This window comes from Homo sapiens, chromosome 5 (assembly GCF_000001405.40).
Source record: "Homo sapiens chromosome 5, GRCh38.p14 Primary Assembly".
Taxonomy (NCBI): domain Eukaryota; kingdom Metazoa; phylum Chordata; class Mammalia; order Primates; family Hominidae; genus Homo; species Homo sapiens.
The window spans coordinates 63,359,307-63,384,690 of NC_000005.10; positions in this window are offsets into that span (position 1 = coordinate 63,359,307).

Sequence of the window (25,384 nt, forward strand, 5' to 3'; positions counted from 1 at the left end):
AGGTCTTGACTCTTTATCCAATTTGCCAGTCTGTGTCTTTTAATTGGGGCATTTAGCCCATTTACATTTAAGGTTAATATTGTTATGTGTGAATTTGATCCTGTCATTATGATGCTAGCTGGTTATTTTGCCTGTTAGTTGATGCAGTTTCTTCATAGTTTCGATGGTCTTTACAATTTGGTATGTCTTTGCAGTGGCTGATACAGGTTGTTCCTTTCCATGTTTAGTGCTTTCTTCAGGAGCTCTTGTAAGGCAGGCCTGGTGGTGACAAAATCTCTCAGCATTTGCTTCTCTGTAAAGGATTTTATTTCTCTTTCACTTATGAAGCTTAGTTTGGCTGGATATGAAATTCTGCAATGAAAATTCTTTTCTTTAAGAATGTTGAACATTGGCCCTCACTCTCTTCTGGTTTGTAGGGTTTCTGCAGAGAGATCCACTGTTAGTGGTAACCCGACCTTTCTCTCTGGCTGCCCTTAAACATTTTTTCCTTCATTTCAACCTTGGTGAATCTGATGATTATGTGTCTTGGGGTTGCTCTTCTCGAGGAATATCTTTATGGTGTTCTCTGTATTTCCTGAATTTGAATGTTGGCCTGCCTTGCTAGGTTGGGGAAGTTCTCCTGGATAATCCTGGATAATTATCTTGAAGAGTGTTTTCCAACTTTGTTCCATTCTCCTTGTCACTTTCAGGTATACCAGTGAAATGTAGGTTTGGTCTTTTCACATATTCCCATATTTCTCGGGGGCTTTTTTCATTCCTTTTCATTCTTTTTTCTCTAATCTTGTCTTCATGCTTTATTTCATTAAGTTGACCTTCAATCTCTGATATCCTTTCTTCCACATGATCAATTTGGCTATTGATACTTGGGTATGCTTCACGAAGTTCTCCTGCTGTGTTTTTCAGCTCCATCTGGTCATTTGTTTTCTTCTCTAAACTGGTTATTCTAGTTAGTAATTCCTCTAAACTTTTTTCCAGGTCCTTAGCTTCCTTGCCTTGGGTTAGAACATGCTCCTTTAGCTCGGAGGGGTTTGTTATTACCCACCTTCTGAAGCCTACTTCTGTCAATTTGTCAAACTCATTCTCCGTCCAGTTTTGTTCCTTTGCAGGTGAGGAGTTGTGATCCTTTGGAGGAGAAGTGTTCTGGATTTTTTGAACTTTCAGCCTTTTTGCACTGGTTTCTCCCCATCTTCATGGATTAATCTACCTTTGGTCTTTGATGTTGGTGACCTTCAGATGAAGTTTCTGAGTGGATATCCTTTTTGTTGATGTTGATGCTGTTCCTTACTGTTTTGTTAGTTTTCCTTCTAACAAACAGTCAGGCCCCTCTGCTGAAGATCTGCTGGAGGTCCACTCCAGACCCTGTTTGCCTGCGTATCACCAGCAGAGGCTGCAGAACAGCAAAGATTGCTGTCTGTTCTTCCTCTGGAAGCTTCATCCCATGGGGCACTTGCCAGATGCCAGCTGGAGCTCTCCTGTATGAGTTGTCTGTTGGCCTCTACTGGGAGGTGTCTCCTAGTCAGGAGACACGGGAGTCAGGGACCAACTTGAGGAGGCGGTCTGACCCTTAGCAGAGCTCAAAAGCTGTGCTGGAAGATCCACTGTTCTCTTCAGAGCTGGCTGGCAGGGTTGTTTAAGTCTGCTAAAGCTGTGCCCACACCTGCCGCTTCCCTCAGGTGCTCTGTCTCAGGGAGATGGGGGTTTTATCTATAAGCCCCTGACTGGGGCTGCTCCCTTTTTTTCAGGGATTCCCTGCCAGAAAGGAGAAATTTAGGTAGGCAGTCTGGCTACAGAGGCTTTGCTGAGCTGCAGAGGGCTTTTTCCTAGTCCCTGATAAAACAGACTTTAAACCAACAAAGACCAAAAGAGACAAAGAAGGGCATTACATAATGGTAAAGGGATCAATGCAACAAGAAGAACTAACTATCCTAAATATATATGCACCCAATACAGAGGCACCCAGATTCATAAAGCAAGTTCTTAGAAACATACAAAGAGAAAGAGAGAGACTTAGACTCCCACGCAATAATAGTGTGAGACTTTAGCACCTCACTGTCAATATTAGTCTGATCAGTAGGACAGAAAATTAACAAGGATATTCAGGAGTTGAACTCAGCTCTGGACAAAGCTGACCTAATAGACATCAACAGAACTCTCCACCCCAAGTCAACAGAATATACATTCTTCTCAGCACCATATCATATTTATTCCAAAATTGACCACATAATTGGAAGTAAAACACTCCTCAGCAAATGCAAAAGAATGGAAATCATAACAGTCTCTCAGACCACAGTGCAATCAAAATTAGAACTCAGGATTAAGAAACTCACTCAGAACTGCAAAACTACAAGGAAACTGAACAACCTGCTCCTGAATGACTACTGGGTAAATAATGAAATTAAGGCAGACATAAATAAATTCTTTGAAACCAATGAGAACAAAGATACAAGGTACCAGAATCTCTGGTACACAGCTAAAGCAGTGTTTAGGGGGAAATTTATAGCACTAAATGTCCACAAGAGAAAGCAGAAAAGATCAAAAATCGACACCCTAACATCACAATTAAAAGAACTAGAGAAGAAAGAACAAACAAATTCAAAAGCTAGCAGAAGACAAGAAATAACTAAGATCATAGCAGAACTGAAGGAGATAGAGACACAAAAATCCCTTCGAAAAAAATCAGTGAATCCAGGAGCTTGCTTTTTTGAAAAGATCAACAAAATAGACTGCTAGACAGACTAATAAAGAACACCTTTTACAATGTTGGTGGGAGTGTAAATTGGTTCAACCATTGTGGAAGACAGTGTGGCAATTCCTCCAGGATCTAGAACCAGAAATATCATTTGGTCCAGCAATTCCATTACTGGGTGTATACCCAAAAGATTATAAATCATTCTACTAAAAAGACACATGCATACATATGTTTATTGCAGCACTGTTCACAATAGCAAAGACTTGGAACCAACACAAATGCCCATCAGTGACAGACTGAATAAAGAAAATGTGGCACATGTATACCATGGAATACTATGCAGCCATAAAAAAGGATGAGTTCATGTCCTTTTCAGGGACATGAATGAAGCTGGAAACCATCATTCTTAGCAAACTAACAAAAGAACAGAAAACCAAACACTGCATATTCTCACTCATAAGTAGGAGTTGAACAGTGAGAAGACATGGACACAGGGAGGGGAATACCACATACTGGGCCTGTCAGGGAGTGGGGGACTATGAGAGGGATAGCACTGGGAGAAATACCTAATGTAGATAACGGGTTGATGGGTGCAGCAAACCACCATGGCATGTGTAAACCTATGTAACAAACCTGCATATTCTGCACATGTACCCCAGAACTTAAAGTATAATAAATAAATCACTTGCACATAATTCCTCACTTCAGGATTGGTGTTTCAGGAATCCATTCTAAGAAATTAAGAAAAATGATAAATGAAAAATTTAAATATTTTTTCTAAGAACGTACTTTTCATAAATGCAGGAGGTAGAAAATCTAACTAAACCACTATTACTTCTTTGTTCTCTTCATTAGTTCATGAGGTCTTCTTACTTAAGATAAACATTTGTGTTAAAGTTTTTACCTTGCCACAAATTCAGTTAACCTTTTTGAGTCTGTTTTTAATCTATATACACACAGAACTTATTTAGAACGGTTCAACTTGTGATTTTTCAACTTTATGATGGTGCTGAAAGCAATACACATTCATTATACTACTTGATTTATGAGGGTGTTTGTCTGGATAAATCCATCCTCAACTGAAATTATCATGTCAGAAACACATGTTTGGCTTATGATATTTTTAACTTACAGTGGGTTTATTGGGATATAACTGCATCATAAGTTAAGGAGCAGTTATATTGGGGGATAATAGCAACTGCCCATAATATTATATGCATATAGGTATTATGATGATCAAATGAATTAATAGAGAAATAATTTATAAACTATAAAACACTCAAATAGGGGTTCCCAAAATGAAAAAAAGTAATAAAAATGTAGACTCCCAGGCTTCCTGCCCCTAAACTCCACAGATTTTCATTCAGTAGGTATAGTGGATTAGGGAAATGCATTTTCACAAGCACCCTAGGGTGAAGACTGTTCAAACATTTTGAGAAACATTGAACTATGCTAGGTCAGTTGATATCAGCATCATCATGTACATACAATAGTCTTCATTTCCTTTGGACTTCACTGTGTAAAATTTAACCCATTGTTATTGTGTTTCAAATCTTATTAATTAATGGATTTTCCCTATTATCTTTCCTTTCTTACCTGACACTAGTAAAATTTTTATAACTTACCAAAAGCAAGCAAGACTGAACAAATGAAACAAATTTAAGAAGAAGACTAAGCAAGCATATCAGAAGACATTTGAAAATGACTAAAAGGAAATTTTTTTAAAAAAGTTTGAGTACTTTTTATATAGATGTGCACTCACTAATTAGCCATTGATATTTAAAAGTTGAATGAAAAAAATGTACTGTGGAAATTTAAAAAAGGAATTCAGCTAAAGCATTCAAGCCATGAAACATAATTAGTTACACAAGAGTTACGTAAGAAAGAAATATGCAAAGTTTGAGGTAATTACTATTCCTTGGGTTTGGATCCTATGTTTTTGAAGATATTCCTCTTGAAGTTTATTATTTCAGTGATAAAGGACATTTTGGTCAATGACAGATTGCAAATCTTATAGTGGCTCCATAAGATTATAATGAAGCTATATAATGAAGCTATATCATCTACGTTTGTGTAAGTGCACAAACTTGTATGACTTTTGTAGTTCAAATTTATATAGATAATGTATCATAGACAGAGATGTCATCAATTAGATACAGAATTACTTGGCTATCATTACTGATTTGTTCTTTCTTTTTGATTTTATATATGCTAAAGAGAAGTAAATTCCCCTTCTGTTGATTTCAGTACTCTGCATCAGAATATTAAAATACTATCTAAAATATTTTAAGTGTCTAATTGTAAACCTATTTATGTATTTTTTTAAATTTAAACGTTATACAAATTATTTTAGTTAGCGAAGTTTTAAACTTCACTAAGTTTAAAACAATAGCAATTGTTTTATTAAGAATATTGTTTTAAATACTAAATATCATTTTTAATATTAAATACTACTGTTAAGTTTTAAATATTGTTAAGTTTGCTAAAATATTGCTACTATTTTTAACTTTAAATATTGTAGGCTGGGTGCAGTGGCTCATGCCTGTAATCTCAGCACCTTGGGAGGCTGAGGTGGGCAGATCACGAGGTCAAGAGATCAAGATCATCCTGGCCAACATGGTGAGACCCCTTCTCTACTAAAAATATAAAAAGTAGCTGGGCGTGGTGGCACGGCCTGTAGTCCCAGCTACTCGAGAGGCTGAGGCAGGAGAATTGCTTGAACTCAGGAGGTGGAGGGTGCAGTGAACTGAGATAGCACCATTGCACTCCAGCCTGGTGACAGAGTGAGACTCCATCTCAAAAACAAAAAAAGTTTAAGTATTGTTAAGTTTTAAAATAATAACAATATTATTTTAAGGAGAATAAAGAGTGTTATGCTTTAATGTGGGCAAATTAAGTGATTTCATGCTTTATCCATGCTTACGTCTCCCAAATTTAAATCTCCAGCACAGAACTCTCCGGAAGAGAAAAATCACACTCCAGAATCATATAAACAGCTACTTAAATAATATTTATGCATATGGCTAGCGGGTTTTTTCAGCACCATTTATTAAATAGGGAATCCTTTCCCCATTGCTTGTTTTTGTTAGGTTTGTTGAAGATCAGATGGATGTAGATGTACAGTCTTATATCTGAGATCTCTATTCTGTTCCATTGGTCTATGTGTCTGTTTTTGTACCAGGATCATGCTGTTTTGGTTACTGTTGCCTTGTAGTGTAGTTTGAAGTTTGGTAGTGTGATGCTTCAACCTTTGTTCTTTTTGTTTAGAATTGTCTTGGCTATTTGGGCTCTTTTTTGATTCCTTATGACATTTAAAGTAGTTTTTTTTCTCTAATTCCATGAAGAATGTCAATGGTAATTTAATGGGAATAGCATTGAATCTATATATTACTTTGGGCAGTATGGCCATTTTCACGATGTTGATTCTTCCTAACCATGAGCATGGAATGTTTTTCCATATAGTTGTGTCCTCTCATTTCCTTGAGCAGTGGTTTGCAGTTCTTGAAGAGGTCCTTCACTTCCCTTGTTGGCTGTATTCCTAAGTACTTTATTCTCTTTGGAGCAATTGTGAATGGGAGTTCATTAATGATTTGGCTCTCTGATTGTCTATTGATGGTGTATAGGAATGCTTGTGATATTAGCACACTGATTTTGTTTCCTAAGACTTTGCTAAAGTTGCTTATCAGCTTAAGAAGCTTTTGGGCTGAGATGATGGGGTTTTTCTAGATATAGGCTCATGTCATCTACAAACAGAGACAGTTTGATGCAGCAAACCACCATGGCATACGTTTACCTACGTAACAAACCTGCACATCTTGCACATGTATCATGGAACTTAAAATTAAATTTAAAAAAAAAAGATGTATGGTAGGCATCTCAAGCAATATATCTACAACTGAACCCTTGGTGTATCTCTTAGAACTGTTGCACCCTAGTCTTATTCATCATTTAGTTGCTCAGAATGAATAAATAATAAAATTTTTAAAATCCTAAAACCAAATTGGACTCTTCCATGAGTTCATTTTTATATCCCATATCCAATTTTGTCTCATTGCAATATGCAATACATATTATGTTAAAATATGCAATACAGATTATGTTATTTCCCAAGACCTAGCAATGACTCCCCATTTCACCCAAGGTAAGAAACAAATTATTATAATGGTCCACATATCTCTAAATGTTACAAAACCATGTCCTCTATTACTTTCAAGATTTTATCACTACCAGTTTCCATCTTGCTTTCTCTGATTCAACTGAATTAACTACTGGCCTCCATGCTTTTCCTTGAACATACCTGGAATGTTGTTGTTTTTGTCTGTGGTGATTGTTCTCAGATATCCAATGGCCTCTTTTCCTGAACTCTTTTTCTTAAATGCTACTTTTCAATATATCTAACTTAACCATTTTATTTTAAATTGCACCCTGCCCCAGCAACATTCTAGATCTTTTTCAGTTTTCTCTTGTATTTGCTTCTTTTGTGTTGCTGCTCTGTATTCTGGAAAATTTTTCAACAAATTCCTCCCACTCTTCTGAAGATTTTTTGTTTTTAAATTTTATCATATATAGTTTTTTTTTTTCTATGAGACCTTTCTTATTTTTTGATCTGAAACAGAGAAGCTTTCTGATTGGAAGTGTTAGATTTGAAGCTTTAATAACTTTCTAACACTAATAGATTAAATAATATCTCACAACTGAGAATTCTAGTTGGAATTAAATAATGCAATTATTTCAAAGATTTATGGAAAATTCTATATCTAGCCAAACTTTTTAGAAGAGAGAGAAAATATAGATTTCTGTACCTCAGAACCCCAAAATGTCATTGCCCATACATCTTTTCTGGAAAAAATTACTTGAGAGATGTCAGAAATGTAATCAAACAATTTATAACTACAGTCATTAGGAGATTTTGATGTTGTACGAACACCACAGAATACTTATACCAACTTAGAGGGTATAGCCTACTCTATTACACAGCTCTATTATAATCTTTATGGGAATATTGTCATATGTGTGGTCTGTCATTGACCAAAAATGTTGTTACATAGCATATGACTGCAATGATAAAGAGAAATGTCTCCCAAAAGAGGAATTCAAGAGGAATTCACAGAGACATTCAAGAGGAATGTCTTCAAAAAAAGCATTTCATACAACAGAGTATTCATCCTTCCAAATTTATGATTTTAAGTAAAAAAAAAAAACCTATAAAAATCCATGGTCCAAATATAACATTTTCCATAGGATTTAGAATTAGATTATTAATTTCTGTAAAGGAGCTGGAATTTTGATTGAGATTGCACTATATCTCTCAAATTGAGATTCATTGAAATACTATAATATTGAGTTTTCTGATTCATGAAAGTGGTATGTCTCTCTATTCTAGGGTTTCTCAATATCAGCACAATAGACACTTTGGATAGGGTCATTATTTGTTGTGAGGAGCTATCCTGTTCTTTATAAGATGTTTAGCCAATAGAACATCCCATTCTCCCACCGAATGCAGTTATGACATCAAAAAGTGACTCTAGACATTGCTAAATGTCCTCTTGGGGGCAAACTTGCCCTCCTCTTCCATTGAGAACAAATGTAACAAGGTTATACAATGTAAGTGATAGAGCTCAGAGAGAAAAAAAATAAAATACAGAACAGAGCACTTGAGAATTGTAGGGCAGTAACAGATGGTCTAAAATATACATGTAATCCAAGACACAAGTGGAGAGGAGAGTGATGATCAAAAGGGACAGAAAAAATATTTGAAGATATAATTTCATCCAAAATTGGGGCAAACTCAATCCATGCACTAATGTCTTTTACTAATTGAGGACCAAAATTTTGTCCCCAATTAGTAAAAATCATTAGTGCATGGACTGAGTTTGTTAAACCTCAAGCAGGATAAAGGTAGAGATTACTAAACACATATCATAGATAAAAGGTTTAAAATCAAAAAATTAAATAGAAAATGTTAAGTGTATCCAGAGGAAGAATTCATATATTCAGAGGAACAACAATAATTACAGCTGACTTTTCATCATAAGCAACAAAACCAGGAGTCAATAGAATAATATATTTAAAATGCTGGAAGAAAACCCCAGAATTCTATACTAAGTAAACACTCATTCTGAAAAATGAAGATAAAATAAAGACAATTTTAGGAAAATGTGTTTTTTGATTAGCACTTAGCAGTACAAGAAATACTAATGTTCTTTCAGCTGAAGAGCAATTATTCCAGATAAAAACCTGGATCTTCAGAGACAGATGAATATTATTAGAAATAGCATGTATGTCCCCTATATATACAGAAAATTGTTTTAACAAAAATAATAACAATGCTAGAGTTTTTAACATGTAGAAATGAAATGTAGATAACAACACGACAAAGGATAGGAAAGAGGATAGATGCACTTTTGCTGTTTTAAAGTCCTTATATATTAGATGGTAAAACAGTTGAAGATAAACTGTCAAAAGCTACAGATGCATTTGCAATCCTCATAGCAAACATAAATATAATACTACTGAAAACTATAGAAAACAAATAACTAGATTATAAACACAAACTTATCTATATTAACAATTACATTAAGTAATAATGGTCATATACACCGATGACATAATTTTGTACACACAAAATATGTAACTATAAACAAACATATAGTAATAACTGCATTCATGAAGATAGCTGAGTGTAAGGATGGTACACCAAAAACAAATTATATTTCTATATACTACCAAGAAATATTTGAAAACTGAAAAAAGATGTTATTTACAATAGCATCAAATATTTCATCAATTACATTGACAAAGATTTACTTTGGGAAATATAAAATTCCTAACTTAAAACTAAAAATGCTGACAGAAATTAGATAAAATTTAAAGAAATGGAGATAGATTTTTATGTTTATAGGTCAGAAGACTAATATTTTTAAGATGTTAATTCTCTTGAAGTTGATTTAGATATTTAATGTAATCTCTCTGACTCAAAATCCTTGAAGGATTTTCTTTTCATAAATATTGAAAAAAACAACTCTAAAATTTATATAAAAATTTAAAGGACTTAACCAAAAAAATATTTTAAAAGTAGAAGGAAATAATTGAAGGTCTTACACTATGTGACTTCAAGACATTGTAGAGAAAGCCACAAGTATTAATATCGTATAGTTGGGCTGGGCACGGTGGCTCATGCCTCTAATCCCAGGAATTTGGGAGGCTGAGGGGAGCAGATCACCTGAGGTCAGGAGTTTGAGACCAGCCTGGCCAACATGGAAAAACCTCATCTCTACTAAAAGTACAAAAATTAGCTGGGTGTGGTGGCATGTGCCTGTAATCCCACCTACTCAGGAGGCTGAGGCAGGAGAATCACTTGAACCCAGGAGGCAGAGGTTGCAGTGAGCCAAGATCACACCATTGCACTCCAGCCTGGGCAACAAGAATGAGATTCCATCTCAAAAAAAAAAACAAAAACAAAAAAAAACAAAAAAAAATCATATAGTTGGCATGATACTTATATAGATCAACTAACAGAACAGAGTCCAAAACATAGACCATACATCTTTACTCAATTCATTTTTAACATAGCAAAATGATTCAAAAGAGAAGGCAAAGTGTTTCCAATAAGTGGTTCTAGAACAACTGCATATCCAAATGAGAATGGAAAGTAAACCTTGACTCTCACTTCATACCAAATGTAAAAATTAAATTGAAAATAATAATTTACCTACATCTGAAAGCAAAAACTATACATTTTCTAGAAATAAAACAGGTGAATATTTTTGTGACTCTCAGGCAAAGTTTTCTAACACAGCTGAGAAAAGGTAAGAACCATAAAAGAAAAAATATATAAATTGCAATTTATCAAAATTAAAAACTTCTGTCAGGAAGCAAAAGTGAAAATGCAAGCCACACACTGGGCATCATATGAAATATGAGACATGAAAGAAAGAACTGATATACAGAATATATAACAAACTTCTACAAATTAATTAGGAGAAAACAAACACCCTAAAAAAAATAAGAGACAAAAGTAATTCACACAGGCAGTTTGCAAATGGAGACTTCCAAATGGTCAATAAGCATATGAAAATTTGATGAACAGCTCACGCCTGTAATCCCAGCACTTTGGGAGGCTGAGGCAGGCAGATCACAAGATCAAGAGATCGAGACCATCCTGGCCAACATGGTGAAACCCTGTCTCTACTAAAAATACAAAAATTAGCTGGGCGTGGTGGAGTGCACCTGTAGTCCCAGCTACTTAGGAGGCTGAGGCAGGAGAATCACTTGAAACCTGGGAGGCGGAGGTTGCAGTGAACTGAAATTGCAACATTGCACTCTAGTCTGGTGACAAAGCGAGACTGTCTCAAAAAAAAAAAAAAAAAAAGAAAATTTGATGAACATTATTACTCAGTATGGAATAAAGAAACTAAAAGCCACAATGAGACACCATTACACATCTTCTACAATGTGTAATATTAAAAATTTTGATGACGCTATGTGTGGGTAAGAATGTAGAACAAAGCCAATGTTTACAAACTGCTTGTAGGATTGTAAAATGCTATTGTCACTTTGATAAACTGTCAGTTTCTTAAAAGTTTACACATAAACAAACATGCTCTATGACCCAGCGATTCCATTCCTAGGTACTGGAGAAATAAACCCATATGCCTATAGAAAAACATGTACAAGAATATTCATAGCAGCTCAATTAGTAATAGCCCATAATTGGAAACAACCCAAATGCCCATCAATAGGTGAAAGTGTAAACAAACTGGAATATTCACAGCAAAGGAACAGGACTGAGTAATACAAAAGAATAAACTACTGGCATTATATACAAATACACACATGAATCTCAAAAACATTTTTTATGAAAGTAGGACACACATAGAAGAGTACTTACTGTATGAATTCATTTGTATGTAAGTTCAGAAATAGGCAAAGCTAAATCTATGCTGACAGATGTTAGGATGTATTGAACAAGGTAACAAGGGTGCTTTCTGGGGTGACAGAAATATTCCTTTTCTTGTTTTGGCTAATGGTTGCACTGTGTCTACCTTTCTTAAAATTCTTCAAGTTTTACACTTGATTTGTGCATTTTACTTATTACAAATTATAGCTCAACAAAATACTATTAGTATAAACCAAAAATAAGGTCTAGAAGTAATCACCATTTGATATCTAAAGAGAACCCTAGAAGTAAGTGTTAGACCATAATGTTTTTCACAAACTCAGGAAGATAAATGAGAATAGTGGCTGCAGATTTTGGAGGTATTCCAAGACACTTCATTCCCACCTTCTTGTCTGAAACTTTGTGATGAGTATATGTAAGGTCAAATTTGGGATGGATTTTCTTGAAATATTTGGTGTCCAGCCCTGGTAATTTAAGTTAATTATTTGATTATTACTCTTTGTCAATCAAGAGACTCTTATAGTAACTGTAATACTACATACAAATTCTTGGTAATTCATCTTAACTAAACATCATGTATAAGTAGATAAAAGACACACAGATAAACTAGCAAATTCTTATGAGGCTTCTCTGAGCAGAGAACTGCTGGTTTACATCCAATATTTGTATTTAAGAAGCATTTAAATATTTTAAAATATATACAGGTATCTTAGTTTGGAATGTTTCCTCAGTTTCCAGGTGGATCCTTCTTTAAAAGGAATGACATATATTTTTAGCTTCTAACATTTGTATGGACCCTAAAACTTCTTGTTATTCATTACATGGAAGAAAAAAAATACACTCAGAATGGAAAAATGCATTATTGTTTACCATATTTTTCTGATAACTGCTGAGAAATTCCAGTAGTTAGTAATTAATAAAATATATAATACAAAGATATGGTTGTTGTTAGTAATAAAAAGATATGGTTTCCTTACTCAACTCTATTCTACTTAGATGGGAAGAAAATGGCTGAAATCTTCACAATCTGAGGCACTAGTTCTCTGGATATGCTAGTTAATTCTTGCAGGCAGCTGTAATGCATTTCAAATATAAGTGTTCCCAGCAACCATTCTCTGAAAGACAAGTGCTGTTGATTTAGGTGCTTGTTGCTGGTTTCTTATGGCTTTTGCCAAGTTTTGTAATCTTCCAGGCACATTTTATGGATAAACTAGTAATTACCCAGCCTAGATTTCCTCCATAGATATTCCAGAGCATAGTCGTTTCATTGTACTTTACAAATTATTTTCCCCATTTCTTGATGGGAATTAATGGCTAGGACAATTTTATAAAGTACAGTTTAACCAAAAACTTATTTCATTCACTGATCCCAAATCTTCTTTCTCCTTCCCTTGATTTCTTTATCTCCTGAGATGTCTGTATTGTAAGTTTCAACAGACTTATAGGTTAAAGCCCTTCAATCTCAAAAACGTGAGGATCACTGATCACTGAACTGAACTTTGCCACATAAAGAAGGAAGAGCGTGGAGAAGTATTTAGAAGTGGAGAGACTGAGAATAATACATTGGTGACAATCTAATTTTTTTCCCAGCAACTTCAAACTGTGGACACAGGGCCTGCTTTTGATGAAATTTACCAGACTGAGATAACTGATTAATTGTATCCTTAACGAGAATTCTGCTTATTTAATACACAGGGAAGTAATGATGCTCAAGAATTGGTCAGTGTCTGCATGCAAACCTCATTTTTCCTTTTTTTATTCATTTATTAGGAAGTACAGACATAAGACAACCACAGAAATGATACCAGTCTACTACTGCACTTCATTTTGAATTGCCTTGCAGAGCTATTAATCAAAATTACAAAGCAAAATTTATATGCAGTAAATCAAACCATATCATTAGAATTTATCACTTAGGCCATTTCCTCCCAGTTGAAAATTCTTGAGCATATCCAAGGTAATCTGCCTGAAAACTTAATTATTTTGGGGGATATAGTAATACTTTCAAGAGACCCAGAGGGTATATCAACTCTTTTATTCCTATTCCTGTTAAAAACTTATATATAAGACATTAGTATTTTGAAAATATGTTTGTTATCAAATGAAGTATACATTTAGGTTTTAAAGTAATTCTCCTGGCTAGGCACGGGTAATCCCAGCACTTTGGGAGGCCGAGGCAGGCAGATCACCTGAAGTCAGGAGTTTAAGACCAGCCTGTCCAATATGGTGAAACCCCGTCTCTATTTAAAATACAAAAATTAGCTGGGTGTGGTGTTGGGGACCTGTAATCCTGGCTACTGGGGAAGCTGAGGCAGGAGAATTACTTGAACCCAGGAGGCGGAGGTTGCAGTGAGCCGAGATCACGCCACTGCACTCCAGCCTAGGTGACGAGAGAGAAACTCTGCCTCAAAAAAAAAAAAAAAATTAGGGTGATAATTTGTTATAACTTCCACATACTTTGCCCTTTATGGAAATGAGTACCACAGTGAAAACAGGGAGACAGGATGCCAGGCAAGAGATGATAGTCACCAGAACTAAAGTGTTGTGGATTTAAGATACATATTGGGGCCATAAGAAATTGCTAATGAATTTAATATAGGAGATAGAGAAAAGATGATTCCTGGTTTGGGAACTGGAAAAACAAGCCAACAGAAAACTTTGATTGTTACCAACTATAATCTCTAAAGAAAGAGATTTTTAGACAACTTTTAGTACACTAAAAGAACCCATAAAGATATCCATCAGGCTATGGGCCATTCATTAAAGAATGCTGTAGTCATAGTCTAGTAGGGAACACACTGGGATTGGAGACCTGGCTTCAACTGTGTGACCTCAGTGAAGTCATCAAACCATGCAAAGATATTTTTTTAACCATAAAATTGGTCAATGATACTTTCTCTACAAAGTTCTTATGAGGGTCAAAAGAGAAAATGGTTGAAAAAAAATGCCTTTGGTGGAAGTTAAAAACATAAAAGGCATTGTAGCTGTGCTTTTTAAATTTCCTTGTGTGTTACTTAACATGATGTCATATCTAAGTAGAGTCTTTATAGTATTAGGTTGATTTTGATTGTTCTAAACAGTTTTTTTGGTAATAATTGATAATCACATATAACATACTATATATAATTATATTTATGTATTCATTATATAATTATATACTAACTTATACAAATATATGTGTGTGTTTACACACAAACAATACCAAAAAGAAAATATAAGAACCTGAAATTTGACCTGGGCATTCTTTTTTGACATAATGCTGATGACAAGTTTAGCACCAGCTAAAGAATGTGGTAGCAAAGATAGTATCTCTTTTTCAAACTTATTTATTCTTCTCAATGCCAGGATGGTCAAGATATGCCTGAGGCTTTGTGGTTGATGTCTCTTGAGCAGAAGATCAATTCTGATTTCTGCCTCCTCTGGAGGCTGTCCAAAGAGAAAAGCAAAGGTCTCAGTTGAACAGCATCTTTCACATTGACCAGTTCATTTATTTGAATCAGTAGCACTATTTAAATAGGAATCAGAGGTGAGTGAAAACAGCATGAAGCTCCTTGATTGATGCTTCCAGTTAGAGGAATTATTTTCTGCTGTGTATCTCCTATAGCATCATGTTAGTGTGTTTCTCTTGGTACTTCCCACTGCCATTGTAATATACCTGTGTGTTTGCATATATTAGGTATACACATATACACACATATATTTATGTATGTATGTATATCCAATATATGACATTGTATCTATATTGTAGTATAAATACATGCTAACAACCTTTACCTCTGCTATCACCTTAGACGTTCTTACTTTCTATAGTATCTCAGCCCCTCATTTATACTAGACAGCAAATTTGTTTCAGATGAATGAAAGTATTAATGACTGTATGGATGCCTAGATAAAATGAGTAAAATTCTTAAGCAAAATTCTAGCCTGCTGGAAGGCGGGAATTAATCTGGTGTTTTCATGGCAGGCAGATTAATGTAAAAGTTCCTTTTCTTTAAATTGGTATTTAAAATCATTCTATAACACTAATATTCATTTATTCATTTAAAAAACATTTTTGAGCATCTACTATATCCATGGTACTCTACTAAATATTGGGAATATGATAGTAAAATTTAAAAAGCTCCTGCAATCACAGTATTATCCTTTAAGACATGTCCTGGACTTAAATTACATATTAATTAATATCTGATTTTCAAAATAACATAATCAGAGACAAACTTTACTTGGCCTGCTGTTTAAAGAAGTACTCTTACGTTCTTCCCATCACTACTTCTTAAAGTTTGGGGGCCTAGTTTCATATTTTCATAGTCAGGTTGCAATTCTAATGTTGACTTATGAATGTGAAGGTCTTGCAGAGACTGCTTTCTCTTCAGTAACACAAATTTAGAAATAAACTGAATTTAAAAAAAACTACACAGACATTATTGAATTTCATGACAAAGCTGTAGATGTAACCGACAAAGTAAACTATACCATTTCCTTATCCCATAGATGTTTTCTGAAGAGTAGTGTGTTAGGCAGAATATTCTTTATTGGGTATTTAGAAAAAAATGTAGTCTGTATTTTCCTGTGGAAGCAATGGGGTAACAATAGCCTAGCATTAATGAGAATGTAAAATGTGCACAGTTATATCATTTCTAAAATATTTCTCTAATAGACCATAATTTGAAAAGCTATTTGTCTGAGAGGGCTGCAAGGAGGAAGAGATGTGAAGAGTTTAATAGGATTTATGGTAAGCAATTTATCATAATCTTTTCTGACCTGATGTGAATTTTTCCTAAGAATTATTTTTGAGGTCTGCTGGCAAGATGGCCAAACAGGAACAGCTCTAGTCTGCAGTTCCCAGTGAGATTGGCGCAGAAGATGGGTGATTATTGCATTTCCAACTGAGGTACCTGATTCATCTCATTGGGACTGGTTGGACAGTAAGTGCAGCCCACAGAGGGGGAGCTGAAGCAGGGTGGGCTGTTGCCTCGCCTGGGAAGTGCAAGGGGTTGGGGGATTTCCCTTTCCTAGCCAAGGGAAGCCATTAGAGACTGTACCAGGAGGAAGAGTGCACTTCATCCCAGATACTACACTTCCCACAGTCTTCGCAACCAGCAGACCTCTGGTGCCTGGCTCGGTGGGTCCCACCCCCATGGAGCCCAGCAAGCTAAGATCCACTGGCTTGAAATTCTCGCTGCTAGCACAGCAGTTTGAAGTCAACATGAGATGCTAGAGCTTGGTGGGGGAAGGGGCGTCTGCTATTGCTGAGGCTTGAGTAGGGGGTTTTACCCTCATGGTGTAAACAAAGCCACAGGGAATTTCGAACTGGGGAGAGCCCATGGCAGCTCAGCAAGGCCTCTGTGGCCAGACTGCCTCTCTAGATTTCCTCCTTTCTGGGCAGAGCATCTCTTGAAAAAAAAGGCATCAACCCTAGTCAGGGACTTATAGATAAAATCCCCATCTCCCTGGGACACAGAACCTCGGAGAAGGGGCGGCTATGGGTGCAGCTTCAGCAGACCTAAACATCCCTACCTGACAGCTCTGAAGAGAGCAGTGGATCTCCCAGCACAGAATTTGACCTTCTGATAAGGCACAGACTGCCTTCTCAAGTGGGTTCCTAAACCCCATGTGTCCTGACTGGGAGACACCTCCCAGAAGGGGCTGACAGACAACTCATACTGGACAGCTCTTGCTGGAATCTGGTGGGTGACCCTCTGGAACGAACCTTCCAGAGGAAGGAACAGACAGCAATCTTTGCTGTTCTGCAGCCTCCGCTGGTGATAACCAGGCAAACAGGGTCTGGAGTGGACCTCCAGCAAACTCCAGCAGACCTGCAGAAGAGAGGCCTGACTGTTGGAAGGAAAACTAACAAACAGAAAGGAATAGCATCAATATCAACAAAAAAGACAACCACTCAGAGACCCCATCTGAAGGTCACCAACATCACAGACCAAAGGTAGATAAATCGATGAAGATCAGGAAAAACCAGCACAAAAAGGCTGAAAACTCCAAAAACCAGAATGCCTCTTCTCCTCCAAAAGATCACAACTCCTTGCCAGCAAGAGAACAAGACTGGATGGAGAATGAGTTTGACGAATTGACAGAAGTAGGCTTCAGAAGGTGGGTAGTAACAAACTCCTCTGAGCTAATGGAGCATGTTCTAACCCAATGCAAGAAAGCTAAGAACCTGAAAAAAGGTTAGTCGAATTGCTAACTAGAATAACCAGTTTAGAGAAGAATATAAATGAACTGATATAGCTGAAAAACACAGCACGAGAACTTTGTGAAACATACACAAGTATCAATACCTGAATCAATCAAGCAGAAGGAAGGCTATCAGAGACTGGAGATCAACTTAATGAAATAAAGTGTGAATACAAGATTAGAGAAAAAGAGTAAAAAGAAACAAACAAAGCCTCCAAGAAGTATAGGACTATGTGAAAAGACCAAACCTATGTTTGATTGGTGTACCTGAAAGTGATGGGGAAAATGGAACCAAGTTGGAAAACACTCTTTAGGATATTATCCAGGAGAACTTCCCCTTCCCCAACCTAGCAAGACAGGCCAACATTCAAATTCAGGAAATACAGAGAACACCATAAAGTATTCCTCGAGAAGAGCAACCCCAAGACATATAATCATCAGATTCACCCAAGGTGGAAATGAAGGAAAAAATGTTAAGGGCAGCCAGAGAGAAAGGTTGGGTTATCCACAAAGGGAAGCCCATCAGACTAACAGTGGATCTCTCTGCAGAAACCCTACAAGCCAGAAAAGAGTGGGGGCCAATATTCAACATTCTTAAAGAAAAGATTTTTCAACCCAGAATTTCATATCCAGCCAAAGTAAGCTTCGTAGGTGAAGGAGAAAAAAAAAATCCTTTACAGTCAAGAAAATGCTGAGAGATTTTGTCACCACCAGGCCTGCCTTACAAGAGCTCCTGAAGGAAGCACTAAACATGGAAAGGAAAAACTGGCACCAGCCACCGCAAAAACATACCACATTGTAAAGACCATTGATGCTATGAAGAAACTGCATCAACTAATGGGCAAAATAACTAGCTAGCATCATAATGACAGGATCAAATTCACACACAACATTAACCTTAAATGTAAATGGGCTAAACGCCCCAATTAAAAGATACATACTGGCAAGTTGGATAAAGAGTCAAGACCCATTGGTGTGCTGTATTCAGGAGACCCATCTCACATGTAGAGACACACATAGGCTCAAAATAAAGGGACAGAGGAATATTTATCAAGCAAATGAAAAGAAAAAAAAAAAAAGCAGGACTTGTAATCCTAGTCTCTGATAAAACAGACTTTAAACCAACAAAAATCAAAGAGACAAAGCCATTACATAATGGTAAAGGGATCAATGCAACAAGAAGAACTAACTATCCTAAATATATGTGTACCCAATACAGGAGCACCACCCAGATTCATAAAGGAAGTTCTTAGAGACCTACAAAGAGACTTAGACTCCCACACAGTGAGAGACTTTAACACCCCACTGTCAACACTAGACAGATCACTGAAACAGAAAATTAACAAGGATATCCAGGACTTGAACTCACCTCTTTACCAAGCAGACCTAATAGACATCTACGGAACTCTCCACCCCAAATCAACAGAATATACTTTCTTATCAGCACATTGTACTTACTCTAAAAATGACCCCACAATTGGAGGTAAAACACTCCTCAGCAAATGCAAAAGAACAGAAATCATAACAGTCTCTCAGACCACAGTGCAATCAAATTAGAACTCAGGATTAAGAAACTCACTCAAAACTGCACAACTACATGGAAACCAAATAAACTGCTGCTGAATGACTACTGGGTAAATAATGAAATGAAGGCAGAAATAAAGATGTTCTTTGAAACCAATGAGAACAAAGACAAAATGTACCAGAATCTCTGGGACACATTTAACGCAATGTGTAGAAAAAAAAATTATAGCCCTAAATGCCCACAAGAGAAAGCAGGAAAGATCTAAAATCGACACCCTCACATCACAATTAAAAGAACTAGAGAAGCAAGAGCAAACAAATTCAAAGGCTAGCAAAAGACAAGAAATAATTAAGATCAGAGCAGAACTGAAGAAGACAGAGACATGAAAAGCCTTTCAAAAAAAAATCAATGAATCCAGGAGGTGCTTTTCTGAAAAGATCAACAAAATAGATAGACTGCTAGCTAGGCTAATAAAGAAGAAAAGAGAGAAGAATCAAATAGATGCAATAAAAAATGATAAAAGGGATATCACCACTGATCCAACAGAAAAACAAACTATAATCAGAATACTAAAAACACTTCTTCACATATAAACTAGAAAATCTAGAAGAAATGGATAAATTCCTGGACACATACACCCTCCCAAGACTAAACCAGGAAGAAGTCAAATCACTGAATAGACAAATAACAAACTCTGAAATTGAGGCAGTAATTAATAGCCTACCAACCAAAAAAAGTCCAGGACCAGATGGATTCACAGCCAAATTATTCCAGAGGTACAAAGAGGAGCTGGTACTATTCCTTCTGAAACTATGCCAAACAATAGAAAAAGAGGGAATCCCCCTGCTAACTCATTTTATGAGGTCAGCATCATCCTGATACCAAAACCTGGCAGAGACAACAAAAAAAGAAAATTTTAGGCCAATATCCCTGATAACCATTGATGTGAAAATCCTCAATAAAATACTGGCAAACCAAATCCAGCAGCACATCAAAAAGCTTATCCACCATGATCAAGTTGGCTTCATCCCTGGGATGCAAGGCTGGTTCAACATACACAAATCGATAAACATAATCCATTACATAAACAGAACCAATGATAAAAACCACACGATTATCTCAATACATTCAGAAAAGGCTTTCAACAAAATTCAAAACCCCTTCATGCTAAAAACTCTCAATACACTAGGTATTGATGGCATGTATCTCAAAATAATAAGAGCTATTTATGACAAACCCACAGCCAATATCATACTGAATGGGCAAAAACTGGAAGCATTCCCTTTGAAAACTGGCACAAGACAGGGATGCCCTCTCTCACCACTCCTATTCAACGTAGTGTTGAAAGTTCCGGCCAGGGCAATCAGTCAAGAGAAAGAAATAAAGGGTATTCAATTAGGAAAAAAGGAAGTCAAATTATCTCTGCAGATGAAATGATTGTATATTTAGAAGACTCCATAATCTCAGCCCAAAATGTCCTTAAGCTGATAAGCAACTTCAGCAAAGTCTCAGAATACAAAATCAATGTGCAAAAATCACAAGCATTCTTACACACCAATAATAGACAAAGAGCCTAATCATGAGTGAACTCCCATTCACAATTGCTACAAAGAGAATAAAATACCTAGGAACACAACTTATAAAGGATGTGAAGAACTTCTTCAAGGAGAACTACAAACCACTGCTTAAGGAAATAAGAGAGGACACAAACAAATGGGAAAACATTCCATGATAATGGATAAGAAGAATCAATATCATCAAAATGGCCATACTGCCCAAAGTAATTTATAGGTTCAATGCTATCCCCATCAAGCTACCATTGACTTTCTTCACAGAATTGGAAAAAAAAACTACTTTAAAGTTCATATGGAACCAAAAAAGAGCCCATGGAGCCAAGACAATCCTAAGCAAAAAGAACAAAGCTGGAGGCATCACACTACCTGACTTCAAACAATACTACAAGGCTGCAGTAACCAAAACAGCACGGTACTAGTATCAAAACAGATATATAGACCAATGGAACACAACAGAGGCCTAAGAAATAACACCACACATCTACACTATCTGATCTTTGACAAACCTGACAAAAACAAGCAATGGGTAAACGATTCCCTATTAATAAATGGTGTTGGGAAAACTGGCTGTCCATATGCAGACAGCTGAAACTGGATCTCTTCCTTACACCTTACACAAAAATTAACTCAAGATGGATTAAAGACTTAAATCTACAACCTAAAACCATAAAATCCCTAGAAGAAAACCTAGGCAATACCATTCAGGACATAGGCATGGGCAAAGACTTCATGACTAAAACACAAAAAGCAATGGCAACAAAACCCAAAATTGACAAAGGGGATCTAATTAAACTAAAGAGCTTCTCTGCACAGGAAAATAAACTATCATTGGAGTGAACAGACAACCTACAGAATGGGAGAAAATTTTTGCAATCTATCCATCTGACAAAGGGCTAATATCCAGAATCTACAAAGAACTTAAACAAATTTACAAGAAAAAAACAACCCCATCTAAAAGTGGGTGAAGGATATGATCAGACACTTCTCAAAAGAAGACATTTATGCAGCCAACAAACATATGAAAAAAAGGCCATCATCACTGGTCATTAGAGAAATGCAAATCAAAACCACAATGAGATACCATCTCATGCCATTTGGAATGGCAATCATTAAAAAGTCAGGAAACAACAGATGCTGGAGAGGATGTGGGGAAACAGGAACACTTTTACACTGTTGGTGAGAGTGTAAATTAGTTCAACCATTGTGGAGAACAGTGTGGCAATTTCTCAGGGAGGTAGAACTAGAAATACCATTTAACCCAGCAATCCCATTACTGGGTATATACCCAAAGGATTATAAATCATTCTACTATAAAGACACATGCACCCATATATTTATTGCGGCACTGTTCACGATAGCAAAGACTTGGAACCAACACAAATGCCCATCAATGATAGACTGGATAAAGAAAATGTGGTACATATACACCATGGAATACTATGCTGCCATAAAAAAGGATGAGTTCATGTCCTTTGCAGGGACATGGATGAAGCTGGAAATCATCATTCTCAGTAAACTAACACAAGAACAGAAAACCAAACACCGCATGTTCTCACTCATAAGTAGGAGTTGAACAAAGAGAACAATGGACACAAGGAGGGGAACATCACACACTGGGGCTTGTTGTGGGGGTGGGGGGCTAGGGGAGGTATAGCATTAGGAGAAATACCTAATGTAGATAACCAGTTGGTGGGTGCAGCAAACCATCATGGCACATGTATACCTATGTAACAAACCTGCACGTTCTGCACATGTACCTCAGAACTTAAAGTATAAAAAAAAGAATTATTTTTAACTTCTTTAACTTTCATTATTTTATTTTAGTTTAGTTTAGTTTTGAGACGGAGTCTTGCTCTTTTGCCCAGGTTGGAGTGCAGTGGCTCTATCTCAGCTCACTGCAAGCTCCGCCTCCCGGGTTCACGCCATTCTCCTGCCTCAGCCTCCCGAATACCTGGGACTACAGGCGCCTGCCACCGTGCCCGGCTAATTTTTTGTGTTTTTAGTAGAGATGGGGTTTCACCATGTTAGCCAGGATGGTCTCTATCTCCCGATCTCGTGATCCACCTGCCTCGGACTCCCAAAGTGCTGGGATTACAGGCGTAAGCCACCACGCCCAGCCAACTTTCATTATGTTTTATAACACAGCATTATAAAACTAAATATTTTGAACAAAATATGTGAACCAAAAGTTCAGGCAGAAAAAAAACAAAAAGAGCATAAGATCTGAAATGAAGATATGCATAAGTGGTAAAGAAGCAGAAGAAGATTTTGAAAATATCTTGGAATTTGGGGGTCAGAAAACGTGAATTTGTGTCCTAGATTAGCCACCTATTTGCCTAATGATCCAATCACATAAAATCTGTAAGCCATTGTTACTTCACTTATTTATGAAAGTGTGACACCTTTCACTGTATACTATCTCACAAGGCTGCTTCGAGAAGGGTATAATTGGATGGGAACGTGTGTAGAGAAACTTAACAGAACTAGTAATTATTCATACGTTCAAGAAGTTTGGTACTAATGGGAAAATGAGAGCTGGCACAGAATTTGAAAAGATGGGAAGATTTTTTGGGATGGAGCTAGGGATTGAATTATGTCATCCTAAAATTTATAGTTTGAAGTCTTAACCTCCAATACTTCCGAATCTGACCTTATTTGCAAGTAGGGTAATTGTAGCTGTAATTACTGTTAAGATGAGGTCATACTAGAGTAGGGTGGGCCCTAATCCAATATGACTGTTGTTCTTATAAAAAGGGGGAAATTTGGACACAGACACAGACACATACAGAAGGTAAACATTATGAAGGGGCATAGAGAGAATATGGCCATCTACAAGCCAAGGTGAGAAGCCTGGAACAGGTCTTTTCCTCGTAGCCCTCGGAAGGAACCAACCCTGCCAATACCTTGATTTTAGACTTCTAGCTTCCAGAACTGTGAGACTTTCTGTTGCTTAAGTCACCCAGTTTGTGGTGCTTTGTTATGGTAGTCCTAGCACACTAACGCAGATGAGAGAGTCTATGCCAGTCTCTAGGCTGAGGAAAATAACCAAAGAATGGGAAGAAGCTGAAAATGAAAGGTGTGTGTGGGTGGGTGAAGAGGAGGGAAGATTTATGACAGAGCACATTTCTAAGGTGGGTTGAAGGCTGAGAATGAGAGCTTAGGATTGGACATTTAAAAAAAATAATATAGGCTGGGGGCAGTGACTCACATCTAATCCCAGCACTTTGGGAGGCTAAGGCGGGTGGATCACCTGAGATCAGGAGTTCGAGACCAGCTTGGCCAATATGGTGAAACCGTATCTCTATCAAAGATACAAAAAAATTAGCTGGGCATTTTGTCACATGCCTGTAGTCCCAGCTACTCAGGAGGCTGAGGCAGGAGAATTGCTTGAACCTGGGAGGTGGAGGTTGCAGTGAGCCGAGATACACCACTGCACTCCAGCCTGGGCAGCAAGAGCAAAACTCCATCTAAAAAATAAAATGAAATAAAAATAAAAATAAAATAAAAAGTAAATACGAAGAAAGCTTCTTTCTCAAATTGGAGTTCAGGAAAAGAGGAAAAGCGTGAAAGTATTATTTAGGAGCCAGTACCATAACGCTTTCTTGCTATTATTCATCCTTTGTAAAGTTTTGTCCTGTAACCTCCATTAGATTACATGTCTCCTGAGGAGACAGAATGTCCTCAGATTTCATTTTATTTTTCTTATCATTTTCACACAAGGCTGGAACGTATGAGATGTTTACTAAATAATATTGACCAACTGCAATATTTTGAACATGACTCAACAGCTAAAGCGGTTCCATATCAATTTCTGCTTAAATATATAACTACTACACTATAACAATAAAAAAGAAAAAACAGCAATAATTTAAGAATAACAGTACACAGGAAGACAGATTCACAAACATAAAGAAAATAACTTTTAAATTTTCCCATCTACTTGGGTATTTTATGGAAAATAAAACTATTAATATGACGATAAGAGTTCTAGCGATAAAGTCAGTTCCTTCGTTCAACTATTTATGGTGCATATTACTTCACATGCGGCTTCAGTGGTGGCACCTCTTCATTTAATTTTTTTGACATAGGGAGTAAACAATAGATTCACATATACCTGCTATCCCACCATCATTATTTTAAAAAGGTGAATTTCTCTAGCAGAATGACAGAGCCAGTTATGGTAGCTAATGATTGCTGGTCCCTGAAATTATTCTGTGAACAATATTATAAATGAAATCATAGAAGTCATATCTTGTCCCATGAGGACACTCACATCACTGATGATAGGCCCATCTTAGCACTTCTGACTGTTATCAGTAATGAAAGTTGGCTGCCAATTTATGTATGGCAATTCCAAGCTAAGCTGTATATTGAATGATGCATTTGTTTCCCATCAAGGTGCCTGGCACAGCACTATCGGAAGTTAGAGTGTGTTATTCCCTCATACATCAAAGTCTGCTTGCCAGTGTTTTATTTATTGACCTGTCCAACTCCTTTTCCATGATTGA